General features: G+C 37.3%; 1 long non-coding RNA gene across 1 annotated transcript in view; it reads left to right on the forward strand.

Moving 5' to 3' along the window:
- Positions 1-24,853, forward strand: part of DIO2-AS1 (DIO2 antisense RNA 1) — a 244,049-nt gene that overhangs the window by 128,951 nt on the left and 90,245 nt on the right. The window contains exon 3 of the long non-coding RNA NR_038355.1: positions 18,332-18,613. This is a non-coding gene — a long non-coding RNA (DIO2 antisense RNA 1). The remainder of the gene's footprint in view (positions 1-18,331; positions 18,614-24,853) is intronic.

The following is a 24,853-nucleotide window of genomic DNA, read 5'->3' on the forward strand; positions in this document are numbered from 1 at the left end:
AATGTCCATAGACTGTTGCCCCTCCTACAGCTGTATACCCTTAACAAAAACCAGATGGAAAACTGGACCAGGTAAATAAAGACAAAGTCACCCCAAGAGAGGATAGCATTCATCCCAGTTACTGTCAGCTCTTATCTGGATGTTAGTAGTAGTTTCTCAGCTGCCATTCTTGCCCACGCCCAATTCTTTCTTTTCTCATAGACCATTGGTGTTTTTATGACTACTCTATCAGATCATATCCCTCCCCTGCTTAAAGATTTTCAATGGACTCCCCATTACATAAGGGAAGAAAATGCAAATTCTTTCGCATGGCACACAAGATGCTTTAAAAGTAGCCTTATCCGAAGGATATGAACAGACATTTCTCAAAAGAAGACTTTTATGCAGCAAACAAACATGTGAAAAAAGCTCATCATCACTGATAATTAGAGAAATGCAAATCAAAACCACAATGAGGTACCATCTCATGCCAGTTAGAATGGCAATCATTAAAAAGTCAGGAAATAACAGATGCTGGCGAGGATGTGGAGAAATAGGAATGCTTTCACACTGTTGGTGGGAGTGTAAATTAGTTCAACCATGGTGGAAGACAGTGTGGCAATTCCTCAAGGATCTAGAACCAGAAGTACAATTTGACCCAGCAATCCCATTACTGGGTATATACCCAAGGGATTATAAATCATTCTACTATAAAGACACATGAACACGTATGTTTACTTGCAGCATTGTTCACAATAGCAAAGACTTGGAACCAACCCAAATGCCCATCAATGATAGACTGGATAAAGAAAATGTGGCACATATACACCATGGAATACTATGCAGCCATAATAAAGGATGAGTTCATGTCCTCTGCAAGGACATGGATGAAGCTGGAAACCATCATTCTCAGCAAACTAACACAAGAAGAGAAAAGTAAACACCGCATGTTCTCACTCATAAGTGGGAGTTGAACAATGAGAACACATGGACATGGGGAGGGGAATATCACACACTGGGGCCGGTTCGGGGGTGGGGGGCTGGGGGAGGAATAGCATTAGGAGAAATACCTAATGTAGATGATGGGTTGATGGGTGCAGCAAACCACCATGGCACGTGTATATCTATGTGACAAACCTGCATGTTCTGCACATGTATCCCAGAACTTGAAGTATAATTTAAAAAAAATTTTTTTAAAGAAGTAGCCTTATCTACCTCTCCACCTCATTTGCAGTCTTTTTCCCCTTCCCTCACATGTTCCAATCATACTCACTTCCTTTAACCTTCTGAATTATGCCCAACTCTTTCCCAAATCAGAATATATACTTCTCCCTCTTCCTAAAGCACATCTCTCCCCCAACCCACCCCAACTTTTCTCATGGAAGGTGCCTTGATTTTCAGGATTCTCTTTATTGCCCCCTCCTTAGAACAGGTCTTTATTATTATTATTATTTGAATAGTTTTTGGGGTACAGGTGGTTTTTGATTACATGGATGAGTTCTATAGTGGTGAATTCTGAGATTTTATTTTAGTGCACCCGTGAAACAGGTCTTTTTAAATCTAAATCTCATCCACTTTTCCCTATCACAGCACTCTGTTAAATTTATTTGTTCATTCATTCAACAAATTTATTTTGTGCACTAAGTATGTTCTAAGAACCATTTTAAGCACCGTGGATACAACAGTGAGCAAGAGTGAACATTTTAGTCAGAGAAGTAGACAATAAGCAAAATAAGTAGATTGAGTATCAAAAACATTTATAATTCTAGTTTAGAGTGGCCATGGAAAGTCTCACTGAGAGGGTGGCATATGAGAAAAGATGGCAAGGAGGAAAGGAGCCAACCATATGACTATCTAGGGAGAGAGTATTCCAGGTGGAAGGAGAATCCAGTGCAAAGTCCTGAGGCAAGAGAATGCCTGGAGTGTTTGAGGAAGGCAAAGAGCTACAGTGACTAAAGTGGACTGAGTTGGAGGACAATTGTAAGAGATGAGGCAGGAAAAGTGAGATTAGGGTTAGATGGAGTAGGGCCTTGGACACCATAGTAGGTCCTTCAGCTTTTACTCTAAGTGAAACAGGAAACCCTTGGAAGCTTTTGTGTTAAGGGTCATGTGATCTGCCTTGCATTACAGAAGGACCACTCCAGTTGTTCTTTGGGAAAACAATTTGAAGAAAGAGTCATAGACTGAATGTTTGTGTAAATTCATATATTGAACTTTTAACCCGCAATGTGATTTCACAGAGCCTGTAAGGTGATAAAGGTTAAATGAGGTCAAAATGGTGAAGCCCTGATCTTAAGGACTGGCGGTCCCATAAGACAAGGAAACAACATTGGAGCTCTCTCTCTCCCTGAACAACATGCACGGAGGAATGGCCATGTGAGGACAGACACAGCCAGAAGGCAGCCCTCTGCAAACCAGGAAAAGAGCCCTCACCAGAATAACCATTGCTAACACCCTGATCTAGGACTTCCAGCCCCCACAACTGTAAGAAAATTCACTTCTATTGTTTAAACCAACCAGTCTATAGTATTTTGTTATGACAGCTTGAACTGACTAAGGCAGGGAATAAGAATGGAAGACCATGTTATCTTCCTAGCATTTAAGCAAATTTATATTATACATATCTGTCATGGTGCATTTGTTTCAGATCTTATCCACTCAACTGTAACCTCCACAAGACTAGGTTCTGGGTCCCTCTCATTCAGCACTCTGCCTCCAGTTCCTAGTACTGCACCCAGCAGGTCACGGATGCATAATAAATATTTCCTGAATGAGTAACTTGATGAATTTTGGATTTCTCTAAGATAGGCCCATCATTTAGGGCATTTACTTTTAAATGAAAAACATTTTGGTTTTTGTTTAATTTGTTTGTTTCTATAGAGTTTTCTATGGATTGATACTATGATACTGTATATTAATCAACTTTCCTCCTTCATTCTTTCCTTCTGCAGCCAATTATTGAGTATCTGCTATAAACCTGGCATTGTGCTAGGGCTGGGATGCAAGAACGAATCCTACTTGCTTACATCAAGGTGTTAGCAGACTTTTGTATTTGTATTATTTAACATCATACCATTTAATGAGAGCCCAATATGCAAAAGTAGAATATATTTTTATCAAATCCAAATGTCATAATTTCTGGAATATGTTTTACTGGGCTACTTAGCAATCATCTATTAGAACTCAGATGCCACCTATTCAGTATGTCACTTTTGTTGGTAATAGGCTACAGCTTTAAAATTTGCATCACTTTGATAGACTCCTACATTAGTTTTCTAGGGATGCTGTAACAAAGTGCCACAAACTGGGCACAAATTTATTGTCTTGGTTCTGGAGCTAGAAGTTCAAGATCAGGGTATCAGCAAAGTTGATTTCTTCTAAGCCCAATGAGAAAGAATCTGTTTCTTGCCTCTTCCCAGCTTCTGGTAGTTTGTCTGCAATCTTTGGCCTTCCCCAGCTTATAGAAACACCACACTGATTCCTGCCTTCATCTTCAAATGGAGTTCTCCCTGTGTGTGTGTCTATGTCTTCATTTCCTCTTTTTATAAAGACACCAGTCATGTTGGATTAGGGTTTTATCCTACTCTGGTATGACCTTATCTTAACTAACTACATTCGCAACAACCCTATTTCCAAAGAAGGTCACATTCTGAGGTACTGGCGTTAGGACTTCAACATATGAACTTTTGGAGAAGGCAAACTTAAACTCATAACAACTCTTAATAAGGGAATAAATAAAGAGCTCTTCTCACCTTCAGCTCTTAATTACTACTTATCTTTGATAAGTGTTGGGGTTGAAAGTTGGAAAAAAAAAGTGGAGTTCTAAATTTTACAACTTTCACCATGGTGTAGCCAAGAAAACACTTTAGTAAGACTCACAGAGCTCTGTCCTAGTCTCATGTATCTAAATGTCTAATTCAGCTATTACTAAGGATTATCAGTGAGTTTCTTTATATAAAGAGACAGGATCAACTTTCGTAACCACTAATGTCCTGACCTGTCCTAGAAGAAAAGAAAAAAGTGTTATTATTTATGGTAGGCAGAATACTAAAATTAGCCCCATGATCTCCACTGCTGGTGTTAGTCCTATGATTATATTATGTTGCATGGCAAACAGGAATTTGGCAGTTGCAATTAAGGTTATCAATCTGTTGACTGTATTGTAGAGACCTTTTCCCAGTGGGCCTAACCTAACCACATAAGCCCCATAAAGCTGAGAATTTTCTTCAATTGGTAGCTGAAAAGAAAATCAAAGAGATTCAAAGTGTGAGAGGGATTATTTCAGGGAGACATTGCTAGAATGGATTGGGCCACTCAGGCAAGAACTTGAGAATGGCCTCTAAGAACTGAGAAATGTACCCAGCCAACAGCCAGCAAGAAAACAGGGACCTCAGTCCTACAACTGCAAGGCACTCAGTTCTACCAAAAACCTGAATGAGTTTGGAAGTGGATTCTTCTACAGAGCCTCCAGGTAAGCACCCAGACTTCTGAAACCTAAGCAGAGAATCCAATCAAATCCAACTACATTTCTGTCCTACAGAACTGTGAGAAAAGAATGGGTGTTGTTTTAAGCCAGTACGCTTATGGTAATATGTTATGCAGTGATAGAAAATTAACACACTATTACCCTGTGATGACAAAAAGAATGGTGAAACCAGGAAGAAATAAAAATGAGGACAGAATGGAGAAACAGACTAGGTGAAAACTGAGTAGAACAGAGAAAGATAAAAGGAAACAGGCGAGGAAAGAAAGACAGAATGAGATAAGGTATATAAAGTTTTCTTTTAAAGATTTCTACTTGGCCACAGCCAAAATGTGCTTGTATTTGTTTGTTTGTTTGTTTGTTTTAGTGTCTGTGTGTTTGGGTGAAGTGGTGATACTAGATTTGACAATCAACCTCACGATACATTGTACAATTACACTAAAATCTAGATTTATGTTACCAAAGATGATCTAATAAAAAAGAATGAAACAATGCGTACCTTTTGCACATGTGAGGAAAAGAGTAGAGAAAAAAAGGGAGGAAAAGAGTAGAGAAAAAAAGGAAGGAAAAGAAAGGAAGAGAAAAGAAAGGAAGAAGAAAGTCAGGGGGAGTAAGGAAAAGGAGAGGAGAAGAGAAGGAAACTACAAAGGAAAACGTTTTTAGATGAATATAAATTCCGTTTTGAAGACTGGGCTAAGGTTGTGTGTCAGAGATGAGCACAGTGGTATCAAACTTCTCTTGATGTTCTCCAGAATCAATAGAGAAATTGCCATTTCTGTTCTGCTTTTTCAGCCTTTTTGAGCTTGACTAGTTCCCTGGCCGCCTAAACAGCCTTTAATTCCATCAAAGGAAGCAAAAGCTCCACTGCCATGACATTAAAAAAAAAATAAAAAAAATCTTTACCTCATGCAGGTATTTCTGAATCCAATAATTATGAAAACACAAAATCACATCTGTTTGAAAGAGCTGAGTAAGCCAATAGCAATGTTAGACATTTCCAATAAAATTCAGTAATTGAAAATAAGTTTTATTAGGAAAACACCATTTCTGGAGTTTCACTCAGTAAGGCAGAGAAATTACTCTGACAGGGTCAAATCCCAAGGAGATTTTTTTTCCCCTTGTGTCCTTAATGGATTTATGGATCCTTTATAGGATGTGGGGACATTTCACATGTCCAGTGACACAGACCGACATCAGTGTATTGAAACAAAAACACAAAGACCAACTTAGTGTAGAATTTATGGTAAAAAGCTTGCATGGCAGAGCCAAAGTGACCAGGCAATTAAATAGCAAGCACAAAAATATGAACAACTTCTGTGCACAGACTTCTGCAGCTAGTTTCATGTAAGAGCTTTTGTTTTTTAAAAAATGAGCTGTTAAACACTAAAAAACAAGAGATAAATACACAGGACAAAGATCAACTAACTATACAAGTTGACATCCAAATAATAAATAAGAAGAAAGCAGTTATTCATCTTGTAACTTCTGTTCTGGGCTCTGAAGAAATACTGATTCTATTTTCTTTGTCTGTGACCAGTAATATTATTTGTAAAGCATTCTCACCAAGTTGGTTAAATGAGATCTCTTCTCCAGCCAGAGCTGAAAGACCTCTAATCAAAGTGTGCTTTCAGTAGCTCCTCTTTCTGTGCTTGGGAAATTCTAAATGATTATTGCCATTATTTCCTACGTAGATGACTGTTGTATAATTGCCTGTTCTCTGTCTTGTGGCCTTGGGAAGACTACTAATGTGATAGTTGATGACCAGCCAAACCCCAAGATTGTAGAGTGGCCCAAAGAGTTGTTTATGCCAATCTTTGGGAGGAAACATGCTACATAATTACAAAATAACATATTTAGATCAGGGGTCAGCAAACTTTTTCTGTAAAGGGCCATAGAGTAAATAGTTTAGGCTTTGTGAGCCAGACAGTCTTCGTTGCAACTATTCAACTCTGCTTGTAGTGTGAAAGTAGCTACAGACAATACCTACATGAATGAGCATGGCTGTGTCCCAGTAAAACTTAAATTAGAACAAAAATTTAAATTTCTTATAATTTTCTTTTGTCAAAAAATATTACTCTGATTTAGGTCTCTTTAAACCACATAAAAATGTAAGAGCCATTCTTAGCTCAGATTCATACAAAAACAGATAGTTGGCTAAAATTGCCAGGAGGGCATAGTTGCCCATCTCTGATTTAAACTATTTTATATGTTTCCAGAATATATCACATGATTATATTTCTAGAGCTAATCCTTGATACAAACATAATAAAAGTTGGTTAAAGTTATATACAATAAATGCCAAATGCACAGTATTGAATTTTGTCAAATATTAATCGAAATTCACCTTTTCTAACATACTGTAATTTTATTTACTTGATGCTCTTAAAGCTTCCAGTCCATGAAGGAAATACAATGCAGAAAACCTGAAAAACCCATATAATTTGACTACCCATCTATTGCAATTGTTTGACACTGAAATACTGTGTACTCTCATAAAATCCTGAGGTTTTATTTTCCGCCAGACAGAAATTATCTCAGAGTTATTTGGTGTTATTTATTTGGCTGAGAAATTATCTCAGAGTTATTTGGTAATCTAGTCATGTACAATAACACAATTACATGCGACCTATAGTCAATAGCTGCTCTGCCCTTGGTCCTCTGATATCAGTGATAGTATTAAATAAATAAATCCAGAGAATCTGGTTAAGGTTGATTCCAATTTCAGGCCCTGGGAATAGTTCAGTGGGAATTTTAATGTAGTTTTGCCATTATCCACACGCTATGATTCATGGTTCAAGGCAATACTAGCCATTCTTGACACAGCACTATATCTGTATGTGTGTAAGCTGTTCAGTGTGTATGGCTGCATATTCATCATACTAATGCAAACTAAGGTGATTACTACAGAGCTGTCAAACCCCGTTCAATCCTATACATTCATCAACAAGTATTTGCCAACTCCATAATTTATCCAAAGCTTTACAAAATTCCCTTCATGTCTGCTTTCTCTTAACATATCACTACAAGTTCTCTCTTACCTACTGGTCAGTGGATCTGGCAATTACTTTCCCCAAATTATCATTGTTGTCTTACAACATTATTGATGTAAGTTTTCAGGACCTAGTTAGTCTCCAAAGCCAAAAGAACATGGTTCAAGTGTTTTGTTTTGTTTTTTTAAGATAAGTCCTAGCTCTCCAAGCCCTTCCATTCTCAACAATGACATGTACTTTCTTCATGGCTACACAGAACTAATGCTATCATCTTTTGTCTTTTCTCTAATTCATCTCTGATTTATTTATTCTCCCCTCCAACTCATCTTCATTGTCCTTTACTGTCTTGCCATGACTTTCTTTCTTTCATATTTCCCAATCTTTCTTCCTACAAACACTGATTAGGTACCAGGCCCTTTCACTGCTACCAGAAAGATAAGAATGAATAAGACACAGTTGTATGAGACAGATGGTAACATAAGATGCACAAAGATATAATAAGATGTGGCATTGAGCTCAAAGTCTACTCCCTTCCCTATGCCTGGGATCCCATGATACTGCATTTTCCAGAGGCTCATGCTATATCCCTGTATTAGTCCATTTGCACACTGGTAATAAAGACATACCTGAGACTGGGTAATTTATAAACGAAAGAGGTTTAATTGACTTACAGCTCAGCATGACTGAGGAGGCCTCAGGAAACTTACAATCCTGATGGAAAGGGAAGCAAACACACCCTTCTTCATATCATGGCAAGAGAGAGAAGTGTGGAGCAAAACGCAGGGAAAAGTCCCTTATAAAACCATCAGATCTTGTGAGAACTCACTCACTATCACGAGAACAGCAGGGAGGTAACCGGCCCCATGATTCAATTACCTCCCACTGGGTGCCTCCTACATCATGTGGGAATTATGGGAACTACAATTCAAGATGAGATTTGGTTGGGGACACAGCCAAACCATATCAATCCCCAATCTCTCAAGAGACTTAAAATTCTCCCTTTTCCTTAGCACCTTCTAACTTCAAATATAGTTATGCTTCCCCAAATAAAAAAATGGGTTTTACTTTCATTTTCAAGTTTTAATAAAATATATCTAATATTTTTAAATATGGAGACAAGTAACAAGTCACTCATCACCTAAGTGAACAAATGTTATTTTATTTTATTCCGTTCAGACTTTAAAAAATAAAATAAAACATTCCAAGTGCCGTTAAAGTATTTTTTGTAGCTCTCCTTGGCCCCATATTTATCTAAAATCTTTGCCAACCCTTCCCCCCGACATGGAACCATTATTTTGAATCCTTTGCATTCAGTTTTTTCATACTTTTACTACATATATATGGATCTATGTGGTTTTACTAAATGTGCGTGTCTTTAAAAATACAGTGTTTCAGGAGGCCAAGGTGGGCAGATCACTTGAAGCCAGGAGTTTGAGACCAGCCTGGCCAACATGGAAAAATCCTGTCTCTACTAAAAATACAAAAAATTAGCCAGGCATGGTGGTACAGGCCTGTAATTCCAGCTACTCGCGAGGCTGAGGCACAGAATTGTTTGAACCTGGGAGGCAAAGGTTGCAGTGAGATCACATTGCTACACTCCAGCCTGGGTGACAGAGTGAGACTCTGTCTCAAAAAAACAAAAACAAAAGAAAACAAAAAATACAGTGTTTGCTTGAGTGCTTTTAAAAGTACATAATGATATCACACTACATGTTCCATTCTGAAACTTGTTTAAATTTATGTACTAGTTATATATTTGAGATTTATCTATATTGATGCATATTGTTTTCATTCATTCATTTTACCTGGTGAGTATTATTCATCATATGAACACAGCACAAATTATTTCTCTTTCTTCTATTCATGGAGATTTACATTGCTTCTAATTTTCCCTACCAAATATAATATTAAATAGGCATTTCAGTATATGTTTCTTTGCGGACATAGGTAAAAGTGGAATATCTGAGCCTCAGGCTATGTGCACTTTCAACATCACTAGATGTTGTATATAGTGCCAATTGCCTCTACAGACTAGTTGTCTCAATGTGCTCCCACTATTAGTGTATGAGGCTTTCCCACAGCCTTATAGCAATTGGTACTGTCAGATTTTTCCATTTTTTATTGTCTGATGGGTTTCAAGTGTGTCTTATCACCACTTTCCAATCTGGTTTCTATCCTCATTGAGCTATAAAAACTGTTCTTTCCGTGGAAATCTAATAATCACTTTCTTGCCAAATCACAAAGACTTCACTTGTACCCATCACTCTACTTGACCTCAATTGCATTTGGCATGCTCGTAACCACCAAGTCCAAACGTTTTCTTCCTTTATCTACCATTTCACAGTATTCTGGGGCAGAGGAGGCATTGAGCAAAATGTCCTCTTAGAAGTTCAGATGTGAATCTCATAGACAGATCAGAAAAGTTACTCTTCAAAGAAATGTATTTAATAATAAAGCTGCAAAAATTTTTTTAACCTTGGAAAGTTAAAAAAAATACAGGTAGCTTTCATAATATGAAACACAGAAAATTAATTTCAAAACAAGTACTCCCCAGTTGTGGGGGTGTGCAAGAAACAGCATGAGAACACTTTCAGAGTAAGCACAACATTTAACCCAACATGTAACAAACATTCACAAGTCTTTCTTAATTATGTCCAATGTAGTTTATGTATGTGATGCATATTATATTGATAAACTTACTGGTCATCAAAATACAATGAATGTGTTATGTTTTAAAAAATAAACAAAATTTGAATCTATTATAATGTTGAAAGGGGGCTATCAGATTTCCGAAGCATCTTTCCTTTCCTGTTTCATGAGCTATAGTTGCTTTTGACTATGCAAGCTAGAACACAAATTTAAGAAATAGAAACATATAGATCTGGACCAGGAACCTTTAAGTAGGTCTAAATGCGTAGCCATATATGAAAAATTATCTAAAATATTGTGTATTGGAGCTTATACACATATGAAATAGCCATCTCCACTACTCATTTTCCCCCATTGACATCACTGATGACAATAAACAAATATTCATTTAAGGAATGCATTCGACATATACTTACTGAGCACTGACTCGTTGACTATACGAGGTCAGGAGATTGGGCAACGGCTAAGAAAGTCCCTTTCCTCAAACAGTTTAAATTCTAGATCTCTGGAAAAGTAATGCCAGACTCTGATTAGTACCTCCTGTTTTTATAAGTTTTTTGAGGTATGGAGTATTTCAGTTTTGGGAAAAGAGTGGAATAGCTGTCAACGATGGCAAAAATAAAACTCCAAAATGTGATAAGGCTGATATAAAGGAAAGGGTCACCAATATTGTAAAAAGATAAGGTCTAGATCTCTCAGTATGGTCTAAGTTTAAAAATCCAGAGTAGTGACACCAACTAACCCTCATGAATAACGTTTTAGTAAAAATGTAAAAATCAGAAAAATCTTTCTTAAAAAGACTATTCTCTGCCCCACACATGTAGTTGACAATTATTAAAGTCTATAACCAAGAAACCTCAAGGGCTGTGATAATTTTATGTGAAATATCCCCTTTAACTGCAAAAAGTAAAAACCTTACTTCTTTGGTGACTCTCATTAAAGTCTGCATTCTGAATGTTTCCAAAACTTTTATTAAGGAAACACCATAGTGTTTCTGTTATAAACATTTGGGTAATTGCTGTGTCAATCTTTAAACAGACAACTCAGTAGAAGCTATGATAATTCAAGTTTGGCAAAAGATCAGTCATTACCTTTTATTTTATTTGGTATGACCTGTGATGATTCTACTAATGGGGGGGCTCTACTCAATTATTAGTTTATGCCGACTATTTAGCTAAATGCTCTATGAAACAAAAATGCTCTTTTTCACAGGTTTTGACAATTACCACAGAGATGAAGTACCTCCATAGTTCTGTCAAAGTCACTCTAACCAAAGGAGCAGAATTGGGAATAGGGAGGATTACAATATGCTTTTGCTATTCTAGAAATATTGGATTGGTAATCTGGATTGCTGGCAAAACAAAACAAAATACTGACCCTATGCCATTTGCCCTCCAAAAATGATTTCCCAAATGCTGCCAAGTTCTCGAAGAGTAGATTTTGGTCTCACTACCAAGGTAATCTAGTATAAGAAAAACAGTTCATGAAACACCAGTTTTTTCCCTTTCTTTTGTGAGGATACATATATGGATCAAAAAATGCTTGTGTTCCATGTTGAGGTTCTTTGATTCTTAAAAGGAAATATGCTTGGCTAAATTTATGAGCTGAAAGACCAAGTAGCCTATTTTTGGAACACCAGAGAAAAGACCAACTGTGTCAAACCTGAAAAATTATAACTGTCAGTGGATCTTGGCTGTTTGGCAAATATACTTTAAGCACTGAGCATACTGAATCTGAAATTTCAAGAGAAAATTTCCAACTTCATTTCTCATTATAATAGATTTTAAGCATTTCTAGCCAAAACCCAGATATGGATACAGCATCTTAATGCCAAAAACTCTAATTACTGCCTCAACTTGACTTCAAGGATGCCTTGAAAATGATTTTAAAAAAGAAAGATTGAACATCATCTACTCCTACTGTAAGAAAAATGTAGATGGTATTTTCTTGATGCTCTGGGTAAAAATTCCTTTGGAAACTCAAGAAATATTTCCCAACATTGAACTATACACAACTAGCTCTGAATAGCTATTTAAAAAATTATGTTCAATTATGTTTCCAAAATTAATTTTTATATAGTCATGGTGGAGTAAAATGTCACTGCAGAGAAGTAAAAAGGCTTTCTTGTCACTATTCAGTGTTCATCAACACACACATGTGACATACATTTTCTTCACATTTAGCAAACAAGGAAAATATCTGTACAATAGATTTTATACTTAAGCACGCTGTTAAGGTCTTCATTTTCCACATAAACTAACATAGAAAAGCTTGTAGTCATCAAGTATACTCAATTCTCACATAATCAAATATTTTAAATGATTATTTCTTTATTAAGCAACCTTTTTTCCTCTAAAACTACCACTGAAAATGTTGTTTTTATCTGCCATTTTAAAACTTCACAAACTTTTTTTTTTAAGTTCTGGGGTACATACGTGCAGGATGTGCAGGTTAGTTACACAGGTAAAAGTGTGCCATGGTGGTTTGCCGCACCTATCAACCCATCACCTAGGTATTGAGCCCAGCATGCATTAGCTGTTTTTCCTGATGCTCTCCTCCCCCAGCCCCCACCGACAGGCCTCAGTGTGTGTGTTCCCCTCCCTGTGCCCATGTGTTCACATTGTTCAGTTCCCACTTATAAGTGAGAACATGCAGTGTTTGGTTTTCTGTTCCTGCGTTTAAAACTTCAGAAACTTTATGCATCAAAGCTACTATCCTTCTGATCTACATCATTTCTTTTGTGGGTTGTTTGTCTTGTTACACTTCCTTAATTAAAGATTTTTCCGGCCGGGCGTGGTGGCTCACAACTGTAATCCCAGCACTTTGGGAGGCCGAGGCGGGTGGATCACAAGGTCAGGAGATCAAGACCATCTTGGCTAACATGGTGAAACCCCATCTCTACTAAAAATACAAAAAATTAGCCGGGCGCAGTGGCGAGCGCCTGTAGTCCCAGCTACTCGGGAGGCTGAGGCAGGAGAATGGCGTGAACCCGGGAGGCGGAGCTTGCAGTTAGCCAAGATTGGGCCACTGCACTCCAGCCTGGGCCACAGAGCGAGACTCCGTCTCAAAAAAGAAAAAAAAAGAAGATTTTTCCAATACTTGGTCATTTTCTTCCTTTTTGGTGACACTCTTAGGAAACTTATCATTTCTCACAATCTTAACTATGATCTCCATGCAAAGGACTTCCAAATACATGTTGTTGACCTTTAATCAAATCTTCATTATTACATATTTCTTTCTTCAAGCCATTCACCTAATGTGTTCAGGGCACTTAGTGTGCACAATTCCCACCACAGGCGCCAGAGACACAAGACAGCACAAAGCAGTGTGGGTCCCTTCAGAACTGTGTGCCAGATGATCTCCTTCCATCCCTCTCAACACGTTGCAACATTCGTTGTTTAAAACTTATGCTTTTCCATTTCTACTAGCTCTATTTATTCATTAAAGTTTTTGTGAACACTACAATCACTCTCCTATTCATCCAGATGTATAACTGTGTAGTTAACTCAAATACTCGGGAAAATTAGAAGAGAGGACATTTCAGTCTCTACTTCACACATATCTATTCTTTATTTCATGTCTGTTCTTTCTTATCATTTGCTAATTGACCCTCCAGCATTCACGGTCTTTACCTCCTAATCTACTCTGTATACAGTTGGCACATTAATTTTAGAATATCATCTGCATAATGTCACATCCCTGTGCAAAACCCAACATAGAAAACCTTCAGTGGTTCACCATCTATGGCATAAAATCTAAACCTGTCATTTTAGCATTCAAGATACCTTCCAATTTTATATTCCATGAATCGCCATGTACTTCGCGCTATAGCCAGACCACTGTTCTCAAAACATTTTAGTATTTCCTCCTTGATATTCAGCACCTACCGAGAATGCCTCTCACCATCTTTTATAGCTGCCTAGGTTTCACTCAATGTAAGATACACCTGTCGTTCCACCTCCTCCTGGATTTTTTCCTTAACTCTTCCAACTAATATTCAACTCTCTCAGAAAGCATGAACTATTTTGTTTGTCTTGGCATTCATCATGTTTTAATGATATAGCTTTTTAAAAAAGAATATATTATCTCTGAAATGAAATTCAATTTCCTTAAGGTTAGGACCTTTATATATATGTATATGTATATATACATATACATATATATACATGTATATATGGGTATATATGTATATATACATATAAATTTATATGTATATATACATATAAATTTATATAAATTTATATTATGTATAAATTTATATAAATTTATATTATGTATAAATTTATATAAATTTATATTATGTATAAATTTATATACATATATAAAAATATATGTATATGTTTATATACATATATATTTAACTTACTTTCTCTTACAGTTTCCAATGTTGTGATTTTATTTGTCTAAAGGTTTACATTACAGAATGGCTTGGGCTTTTACAGGTGAAGATGTACCACAGCCTAATCACATCTCCTAAAAGCTGTACTCAAGTGAAGTGTTATATAAGATGTTCAGCTTTTTATGACACAAGTGTTGCTGATAGCAGTGTTTTAATGGGCTCTCCTGCCTGGCAGTATCCCTTCTGTTTGTATTAGGTCTCAAATCAAATAATATAACTCAGTGCCTCCATATGTATCATTCATGATGACCTAATCAGTAGGCTTTTATGTCAGTTGTAGAAAATTAGGCGTTATTTTCCATCTTTCAGGTTACAGGAAAATTGGCAAGAATTGCATTTTGATTTATGTTCTCTTTGTGAACTACACTTAGACATTTGATTCTATTAACTGAATTAGTATGTGGAAAGCCTTGTGAAAGATTGGCTATTCAGACAAGTTTATAAACATCACTTGCTCCCTGCACAAAGGAGGGATGGCAAGAGTTATAGCTTAAGAAAAAAAATATCAGATACATTTACTGTGACTAACGGCACTAACATGGCCCGTTCTTGCTCCATTACTGTTTATTGTCTGCTTTTCAACAGCGCTTTGCATTTTCTCTAAAGATTCTGATTCAGGGATGAGCAGAGTGTTCTTCAAACAAGAACACGCTCAATCTGCAGCATGTCGATAGCAAAGTGCTGATGGACATTATTCAAGAATTCTGATATGTCAGGAACTGTACCCCTGTGGCTCATAATGGGAAGGAAGCGAGGTTATTAGACTGATTTGCAAGGCCGCACTTCAGTTTTGTCTGACTGACAGTGCCAGGAAAGACAGAGGTCCTCATCCTGTGCCTCGCAATTAATGTGTTTACAATTCCTGTCATTCTGTTAAGCAGCTTGTGCCTGAAAGTCACCGATAATTTTGTGGTCTGAGTAGCCTCATCTCCCCACTACCCTCCATCTTTCCAAGGAAAATCGGTGTTCAGTTGGCCAGGAATGCTTTTGTTTTTGTTTTCGTTTTGCTTTGTTTTCAGATTTGCCCATTATTTTTAATTTTTTTTTATTACTTTATTGAAAAGAATGAGACCATGTCCTTTGCAGGGACATGGGTGAAGCTGGAAGACATTACCCTCAACAAACTAACACAGGAACAGAAAACCAAACACCACTTGTTCTCACTTATAAGTGGAAGCTGAACAATGAGAACACACGGACACAGGGAGGGGAACAGTACTCACAGGGGCCTATCCATGGGAGGGTGTGGCAGGGACAGCATTGGGGAAAAGAGCTAATGCGTGCTGGACTTAATACCTAGGTGGTGGGTTGATAGGTGGAGCAAATCACCATGTCACACGTTTGTCTATGTAACAAACCTGCACATCCTGCACATATACCACAAAACAGGAATGCTTTTGAATGGACACCAAAGGATTTGTGAAAAGATCACAGTGTTAAGGTCAGCATAATTCTTTAAAAGAAGAGAAATCTAGGCTGGACCACAATAAAGACAGTTTCTTAAGATACGGGTTTTCATCAGTCTTTCATTAATGAAGAACAAGAAACTTCATTAGAAGTTCATTTTTATAGCTTTATTGAGGTATAATTTATATAGCATAAATTCTCCCATTGCAAGTGTACAACTGAATGATTTTTAGAAAATTTATAGAGCTACATACCCGTCACTACAATACAGTTTTAGAACATTTCCATTACCCCCAAAAGTCCCTTTGTGCACCTCACTTGCAGCTAATCCTTGTTCCCACCCTGGCCCCTAGTGGCCACTGATCTGCTTTCTGCCTCTATACCTTTGTCTTTTCTGGATATATTATATACACGTAATTCTGTAATACAGAGTCTTATGCATTAGGATTCTTTCACTAAAGAAACTGTGTTACAGCTCACCAGTAATTCACTCCTTTATATTGCTGAGCAGTATTTAATTGTATGTTTACCCATTTACCAATTGGTAGTCATTTAGATTATTTATAGTTTTCAGCTGTGATGAATAATGCTGCGATGGACATTCATATATATGTCTTGTCTTTATGAGGCTTTTTCACTAAAAATAGAGTAAAGTTTACCCCAGAAAATTAGTTCTTTTCCTAAATGTCATAATTCTAAACTCTACTGGAATGGTAAAAATCTACAGAAAATAGCAACACCAGAAAGATTTTAAAAGAATGGAAAGTCTGACCTGATTTATTACAATCTGCTGAATTCTTTACCTGACTTTTCTCAACTTTATTCTGGGTCCACGTTAACTGTATACAGAGAAATGACACAAGGTCAAGTCAAAATGCTAGAGAAGATAGCCTTTATCAAGGGTTATATACTTTTTTCATTCCAGTTTACAATAGTCCAAAGAACACAAAAACTTCTCTGGCATTGACTCATTCAATGCCGTGGATTTCTTGAGACGAACACAACAACAAATTCCCTATTCAGACTTGATTCCCAGTTTAAATGTTTGTTCTAAAAAAAGCTTACTCTATCCTTTTTCATCTCAAAACTGAAGGCTTTTACTACCAATTTATAGATATGGAAATAGTTTCATAGCAGGGAGACTATCCCTGTTATGGAGTGAATGTTGTGTCCCCTCTAAATTTATATGATGAAGCTCTAACCTCCACTGTAATGGTATTAGGACATGGGGCCTTCAGGAGGAAAATAGGCTTAGATGCAGTCAGGAGGGTAGAGTCCACATGATGTGATTAGTGCCCTTATAAGAAGAGACCAGAGAGCTGTTGCTCTCTCTCCAGCAGATGAGAATATAGCAAGAAGACAGCCATCTGCAAGCCAGGAAGACAGCCTTCACCTGATAGCACCTGGCAGTACTGGCACCCTGATCTCAGACTTTCAGTCTCCAGACTGTGAGAAATAAATATCTGCTGTTTGTAAAGACACCCAGTCTATGGTATTTTGTTACAGCAGCCAAAACTGACTAAAACAATCTCTTTTAATGGTCTTCACCCCACTCTTTCTTTCTCAAAACCAAACTAATGAAATTGTGGAAATTAAAATAAATATCATTTTGTCATTTATTTGTTTCTAGTGTAAATTCTTATCTTGGAAGTGTATAAAATTAAGGAAGATCAAGCAAGGCACTTCACTTGTTTTTGGTAGTTTACAAATAATTTTTCAGAGGCTCTTCTTTTGTAATAAACATACTACTGCAGAGTTTTTCACATTAAAGAATGATTTTAATTGCTTCAGTGCCAACATTTTTAATAAGGGCAAACATCCCAGAAATTACAATGTAAATCACTGGGGAAATGTAGTTATCTCTACAAGACATGTTCAGGGTGATCCTTGAGTGGCAGAGCACTCGGTAAATCGGGGTGCCTCCGCAATGCACATAAGTATTCCGGTGTATGCAGCCTTAACTGAGGTCTCTGATAAATCTCTCTTGTTTAATTGGCAGAAGGTGCGTGAGGAAGGAATACACCATGACCACATGGTTTCTGGAACACTCATGAGCACAAACTGTGCTAACCATTGTAACCACAGCAATGACTTTGTCATAAACACTTGTTGTGATAAAATAGAGAAGTATATCAAAAATTCTATACAACCAAAAAAAAGTACATAGAATATTATCAAGAGGATTTGTCTCTGGGACAATCAGTAAACAACCTTAGACTGTGGGAATACCTTTTGTAAAGGCATATGGTCAGAGAGAAAGGATACTAGACAGCATCAGCCATAACCCAGACAAATACCTTTCCAAAAAGTGATTCTAATTACAAAAGACTAATGTCTGTCTACGTTTTAAAAATATTTATCTGAGAAATACAGCTTTTTAAAGGAATTAAATTTTGCTTCCTTTACCACCTTCTTGGTTTTCAGGACAAAATAAATGGTGGCCAGATGCAGTGGCTTAGGCCTGTAATCCTAGCACTTTGGGAGGCCAAGGTGGAAGAACTGCTTGAGTCCAGGAGTTCAAGACCAGCCTGGACAACACGGTGAAACCGTGTCTCTACAAAAAACACAAAAACATTAGCCAGGCATAGTGGCATGTGCCTGAAGTCTCAGCTACCCGGGAGGCTGAGGAGGAAGGATCACCTGAGACCTGGAGGTTAAGACTTACATTGAGCCACGATCACACCAGCCCTCCAGCCTGGGTGCAAAGTAAGACCTCATCTCAAAAATATAAATTTAATAAATAAATGCATGGCATTCTTTTTATGCTCTGCTGATATAGGAACAACAGTTGTTTAGGGCATATTGAATATGAAGTGCCCATGGAATGTCAACTATAAGTATGATATAGTTGGAAATACCAGTGTGGAGCCCAGAAGAAAGATCTGGCTATAGATATACAATGGTAATTCATTCCCATACAGATGCCAAATAAAGTCATGATAGTATATAAACCGGTAAAAGGATAATTTGCAGATGGAACAGAAAGCTAGGCGAAAATTCTCCTAAATTTGCAAGATAAAAAAACTGCAGAGGAAGAGGAATCTGCGAAGGTTGATGGGATGTTACAGAAGCCAAAGGAAATGAGTGTATAAAGTGAATAGAGGAGGAGGGAGTGGGGCATGAGCAGTGCCAAATGCTACAGAGAGGTCAGGTATGGGAAATCCTAAAACATCCATTTGATTTAACAGTCAAGAGGTTATTAGTACTCTTTTATTTTTGGTCTACATTTAAGGGGTACAAGTGCCATTTTGTTATGTGGATATATTGCGTGGTGGTGAAGTCTGGGCTTTTAATGTATCCATCACTTGGATAATGGACATTATATTCATTAAGTAATTTCTCATCATCTACCCCAATCCCAGCGCGCACTTTTCCAAGTCTCCAGTGTATATTAGTCCATACTCTATGTCTATATGTTACACCAAAAACATACCTGCACTCATATGTTTATCGCAGCATTATTCACAAGAGCAAAAATACGGAATTAACCTAAGTGTCCAGCAACGAATTACTGGATAAAGAAAACATGGTGTGTGAGTGTGTGTGTGTGTGTGTGTGTGTGTGTGTGATTTCATATATATATATGATTTTTATATATGTATATGTGTGTGAGATTTCATATATATAAGATTTTTACATATGTGTGTGTGAGATTTCATATATATATGGTGTGTGTGTGTGTGTGTGTGTGTGTGTGTGTGTTGGCCAGGCACAGTGGCTCATGCCTATAATCCCAGCACTTTGGGAAGCCAAGGTGGAAGGATCGCTTGAGTCCTGGAGCTCAAGACCAGCCTGGGCAACACGGTGAAACCCCATCTCTACAAAAAATACAAAAAAAAAATTAGCCAGGCATAGTGCCATGTGCCTGAAGTCTCAGCTACCCGGGAGGCTGAGAAGGAAAGATCACCTGAGCCCTGGAGGTTGAGACTTGCACTGAGCCATGATCACACCAATGGAATACTATTCAGCCATAAAAATGAAATCATGTCTTTTGCAGCAACACGGATGAAACTGGAGGCCATTATCTTAAGTGAAACAACTTAGAAAGAAAAATATTGCATGTTCTCTCTTATAAATGAGAGCTAAATAGTGTGTATATGTGGACATACAGTGTAGACTGATAGATATTGTTGGTAATCTTAACCAGACCACAGTAGACTGAAAGGTGGAGAGAACAAAGAGATACAACCATTGGGGACTATTCTTTCAAGATGTCTGTCTCTGAGAAGAGGGAAAGAGACAAGTCAATAGTGGGAAGAAGAGAATATATGAAGTTAAAGACACATAGAGTTAATTAGTTATTTAGGTAACTCAATATACTAAAAGAGGTTGGGGTTCTAATGAGAAAGAAGTTGGGGAGGAAACATGGAAGACATAGTTAGAAAAGGAAGTCTCATTGACATATGTTAGATATTCAGGCCATAAGTTTAAGCACTAGTGCTCCAGTTCAACAGCTCTCTGTTTTAAGCATGAGGATCCTAGGGTTTCTAGCCAGGATATCTAGCAGCTTTCCTTTACTGAGGCAGAGTTCTAACTTTCAAGACCCTCTCACCACAATTGTGTCTATTTCTGCTGTCACCACAATGTGCCTTGGAGCCTTGACTCTGCCCTGACATCTGTCTTTGTCATATTCTGAGGGCAGGGTTGCCAGATAAAATGTAGGATGACCAGTTAAACTCGAATTTCCAATAAACAATAAGTTTTTATTTAGTATAAATATGTCCCATTCAATACTCAAAACAGCTCATAACCCTCTTTCCATTAACCCAAGTATATGCCGAGTGCATATGCAGAAGAGTGAGAGACATGCGTAGTGTTTAGTCTTTAAAAAAATGAAAAACACATTTTGCCCCAAGTATTTTTCCCCTTCATTTAAAAGTTAAGTTGTGTATTTCAAAGATAAATCTAAGCCATGTGTCTCAGCTCTTCCCTCTAATAGCAAACTGCTCTGAAAGAACTCACTGTCATATCAAGGACTTTCAGAATGTCATTTTTTATTCCAAATAAGAAAACTATATTTTTCCTAAACACACAAAAACAATCTCAAAAATACACACATATGGCTCTAGCTCACTTCTCATGAAATAGAACAATAATCTATTCTCACTTGACTGATTTATATTCATTCTGAAGATACCCATCATCTGATCAGTGTCATCGGCAGCTTAACGTTTATTAAGAAACTATCATGTGCCAGGCACAAGGCTATGTACTTTATAAACGTTAGTTCTCATCTCAATCACCCTGACGTGAACACATTATTGACCCATTTAATAGACAAAGTCATCAAAGTCCCAAGAGGTTAAGTAACATGTGAAGCACATCAAAGGTTAACACAAATTCTGCCTAACATAGAGGCCCACACTCTTTCCATTTTCCTAGATGGTAGCATGTTCCCTTATAGTTAAGAGAAAGCTAAACCATCCCTATTGTCTCGAGGCTGAAGATCTTAATGAAAGACATAGACAAAAACACAATGACACAGAGTTGAGTAACCCATATTTAACTCAGTGGAGAACAAGGCACTAAGATGGTACATGAAAGGATCTAAAAAAAAAAAAAAACAACGTTTTACAAGAAAATAGTTTCTGCAATGTATTTAAAAATTACCCAGATTCTCTTTATTAAGATAACACTTAATACATCCTATCTCTAGTGTTCACAGCTTTTTTGGAGGAGTGGGAGTTCTATGTGTCTTATAATTTTTGGATTATGAGGATATAAGAAAAGAAAAAGAGCATTTTGAAAGCATGCGTTACAGAAAGTCCAAAGAAAAATGAATCAAAACACAGGTTCTGAATACAGACACTTTGGGTTCCAAACCAAGTTCCGCTACTTACTTGCCGATTATTCGATTACGGTCCCTTTACTTAACTACCCTGTACTTCAGTGTCTTCATCTACAAAATGGACATAATAATACCTATCTTATAGAAATGTTATAATAATTAAATGAGATTATATTTTGAAAATAGTTGGCCTCATTCCTGAGACATAATAAGCACCCCGTGACCAATGGTTGTGGTTGTTGCAGAACAATCCAGTAGAACACTTTGACAGCCATCGTACAGTCATGGAGGCCAACGAGGCAACATTTTCAAATAATCACAGTCCATGAATAGGAAAAGGAGAAACCGAGCTAAGAACTTGGCCACACTGGGAAGAAGGGGGATGAAGGGTAACTGCTGGAATTGGCACATAAGGAGACACAAAAGGGCTAGGCAACAAACTTGCTATGTATAACAAAGAAAGACAGCTTACTTGTGTGTTTGTGTGTAATTTTCTGTTGAATATTTCATACAGGAAAAAATAAAGCACCAAAGAAATTATTTTCATTGGATTAGGAAAAATTTTAAATTAAGAGATTCAAAATTTATGTGGCTTTGCTTTAGAAATAACCATTAGTCCATGTACCTCTAGCCTGAAAGCAGCTATATTATTATTACTAATGGGAATCACACATTACAACTTTTTTAAAAGTGGAAAAGACAACTGATTGTCATTTTTTTGTTGGTTAATAATAATGGAACTCTTCCTTTGAGGAAAAAAACAGCATATTTCTACTTTAAGTTATTTTTCTGTTTTCTTAGAATAAGAGTCAGCAAACTACATAGCTTGTGACCAAATATGGCCCACTGTCTGTTTTCATAAACAAAGTTTTACTGGAACCTGGCCTCATTCATTTTTCTACATTCATTTTCTACATACTGCATTCATTTTTATGGCTACTTTCGTGTCAGAATCTCAGAGCAGAGCAAACGTAACAGAGGCTGTACAACCCACAAATCCTAAAATATTTAATTTATACGACCCTTCACAGCAAAAGTGTGCCAACCCCTTTCATACAGTTATGAGGTATTTTGTATTACTATGCTCTGGCTACCGTAATAAAATACCATAGACTAGTTGTCTTAGACAACAGACACTTATTTTCTCCAGAGGCTCTCAGAAGTCTCAGATGAGGTTGGCAGCATGGTCGGTTTCCAGTGAAGCCTCTGTTCCTAGCTTGTAGGCAGGGGTGGGGAAACATCTGGCCATGTTCTCATGATGTGGGAGAGAGCTCTTTGGTGTATCTTCTTATAAGGACACTAATCCTATTGTATCAGGGCCTCATCCTATGACCTTATTTAACCTTAATTACCTCCTTATCGGCCCTAGTTACACTGGGGGTTAGGACTTTAATGTAAAGATTTGAGGAGGATGTAATTCAGTCCATAGCGCATTTCACACCTCCAAACTCTGATTTTAATCTGAAATATCCATGGCCTTTTATCCCCAAATGTACCTTCTAGTGTGCTTTTCTAAATATATCTAGAAAAAATGTTGAAAAGAAAGTACAGTGGAAAATTTCTCTGTTGACTGTGACTAAAGAGACTATCTAGAAACCTTGCCACAAATGGTACCCATACCAAAGCACTTGAACTTGGAGAAAAATAAAGATAAAATGACTTCTGGAAAGCAGGACAAATTTCTCCACTGCGAAACTGAAACACACCCATTAATCCATCCCACAAATGGTAGTTTCCATCATATGGATGATCTTTTATTTTACTGGGCAAAAAAACAGCAGTAAAGTCCTTCAGGGTAATCTGTGATCAAGTGGGGTTTGAAGATTCAAATAAGCATTGATGGGTCAAAGTCAAGTTGTGGGCCTCATCATTCTTGTGCTATTTACAAAAAGGATATAACTCTATTTCTCCAACAACCACGGAGTATTTTAAGAGACACTACCCCATTCATCTTCTGAGTGCTCCTTGAAGCAAAGTGTCCCACATTTTATTTCTATTTTACAAATGAGAAAACTAGGGCAGAGAGCAGTTATACGCTTCTCCCCAGAGAGAATCAATCTCTAGAAGAACTAAAGATATAATAATTTTAACTCTTTTTGTTCTCTATGAGTTCAACCACAAATTAGTATATTCCATACCTCTCCATGAATAAAAAGGGTCTAATGCTCATTGGATAAAATATCATTCACACTGTAGTCATTGTGTATATTTCCTGCCATGTCAATATGGTGGATGACACTTTCACTTTGGTGCTTTTAAGGACTCCCTTCTTTATTATAGGTACAGAAACATGAACAACCATAAGAAAGAAATTATAAGCCAAATTAGATAATGGACAGAGCACCAAAAGTGTTGGTTTGAGATCCTAGCACCATACTGTCTTATGACATAGAAATAGGCACTAGCACCATCTAGTGAGAGACCAAAGTAACTCATGGATTATTAAGAGGGTTTGTCACCCAGGGGGTTCCTCTCATCGAGAGGTTTCAATTATTTCCAGATCAAAGTTTCTTTGGGCTTTATCTGACTCCTAAATAAGCAAGAATATCCTTATTAAAGTCACTGTAGGAGTGCAAGGGTTGAGCTTGGGTTGCTTGTTGTATTTTATTTTCCTGTGACAGAGTAAAAATGGCAAGGGCTAGAAGAGGTTGAGACCCAGTTGAAATCTATTCACCACCAGCTCTTTGGTTTTACACGAATTACCCAATCTCTCCAATTGTCTGTTTCTTCATCAATATAACGAAGATAGTGCCCATTTCATGGGTACTTGGGAAGATTAACGTTATAAAATAAATTTATGTTTCTCTATATGTTGACTCTCAACAAATATTAGTTTTCTCTTTCTCACAAAGGATTCCTGAGATTTTTTCACATAGCACTTGGTATGCCATAACAAAGCACAAGAGACTGGGTGACTTAAAAAAAAAAACAGATATTTATCTTATCACAGTTCTGGAGGCTTGAAGTCTGAGGTCAACGGGTCAGCAAGATTGCCTCTTTCTGAGGGCTATGAGGGAAAGATCTATTCCAGGACTGCCTCCTTGGTTTGTAAATGGCTGTCTTCTCCCCATGTCTTTTCACATCATCTTCCCTCTGTATATACCTGTGTCCCAATGTCTTTTTCTTATAAGCACAACAGTCAAATGGGATTAGGGCCT

This window comes from Homo sapiens, chromosome 14 (genome assembly GCF_000001405.40).
Source record: "Homo sapiens chromosome 14, GRCh38.p14 Primary Assembly".
Classification (NCBI taxonomy): domain Eukaryota; kingdom Metazoa; phylum Chordata; class Mammalia; order Primates; family Hominidae; genus Homo; species Homo sapiens.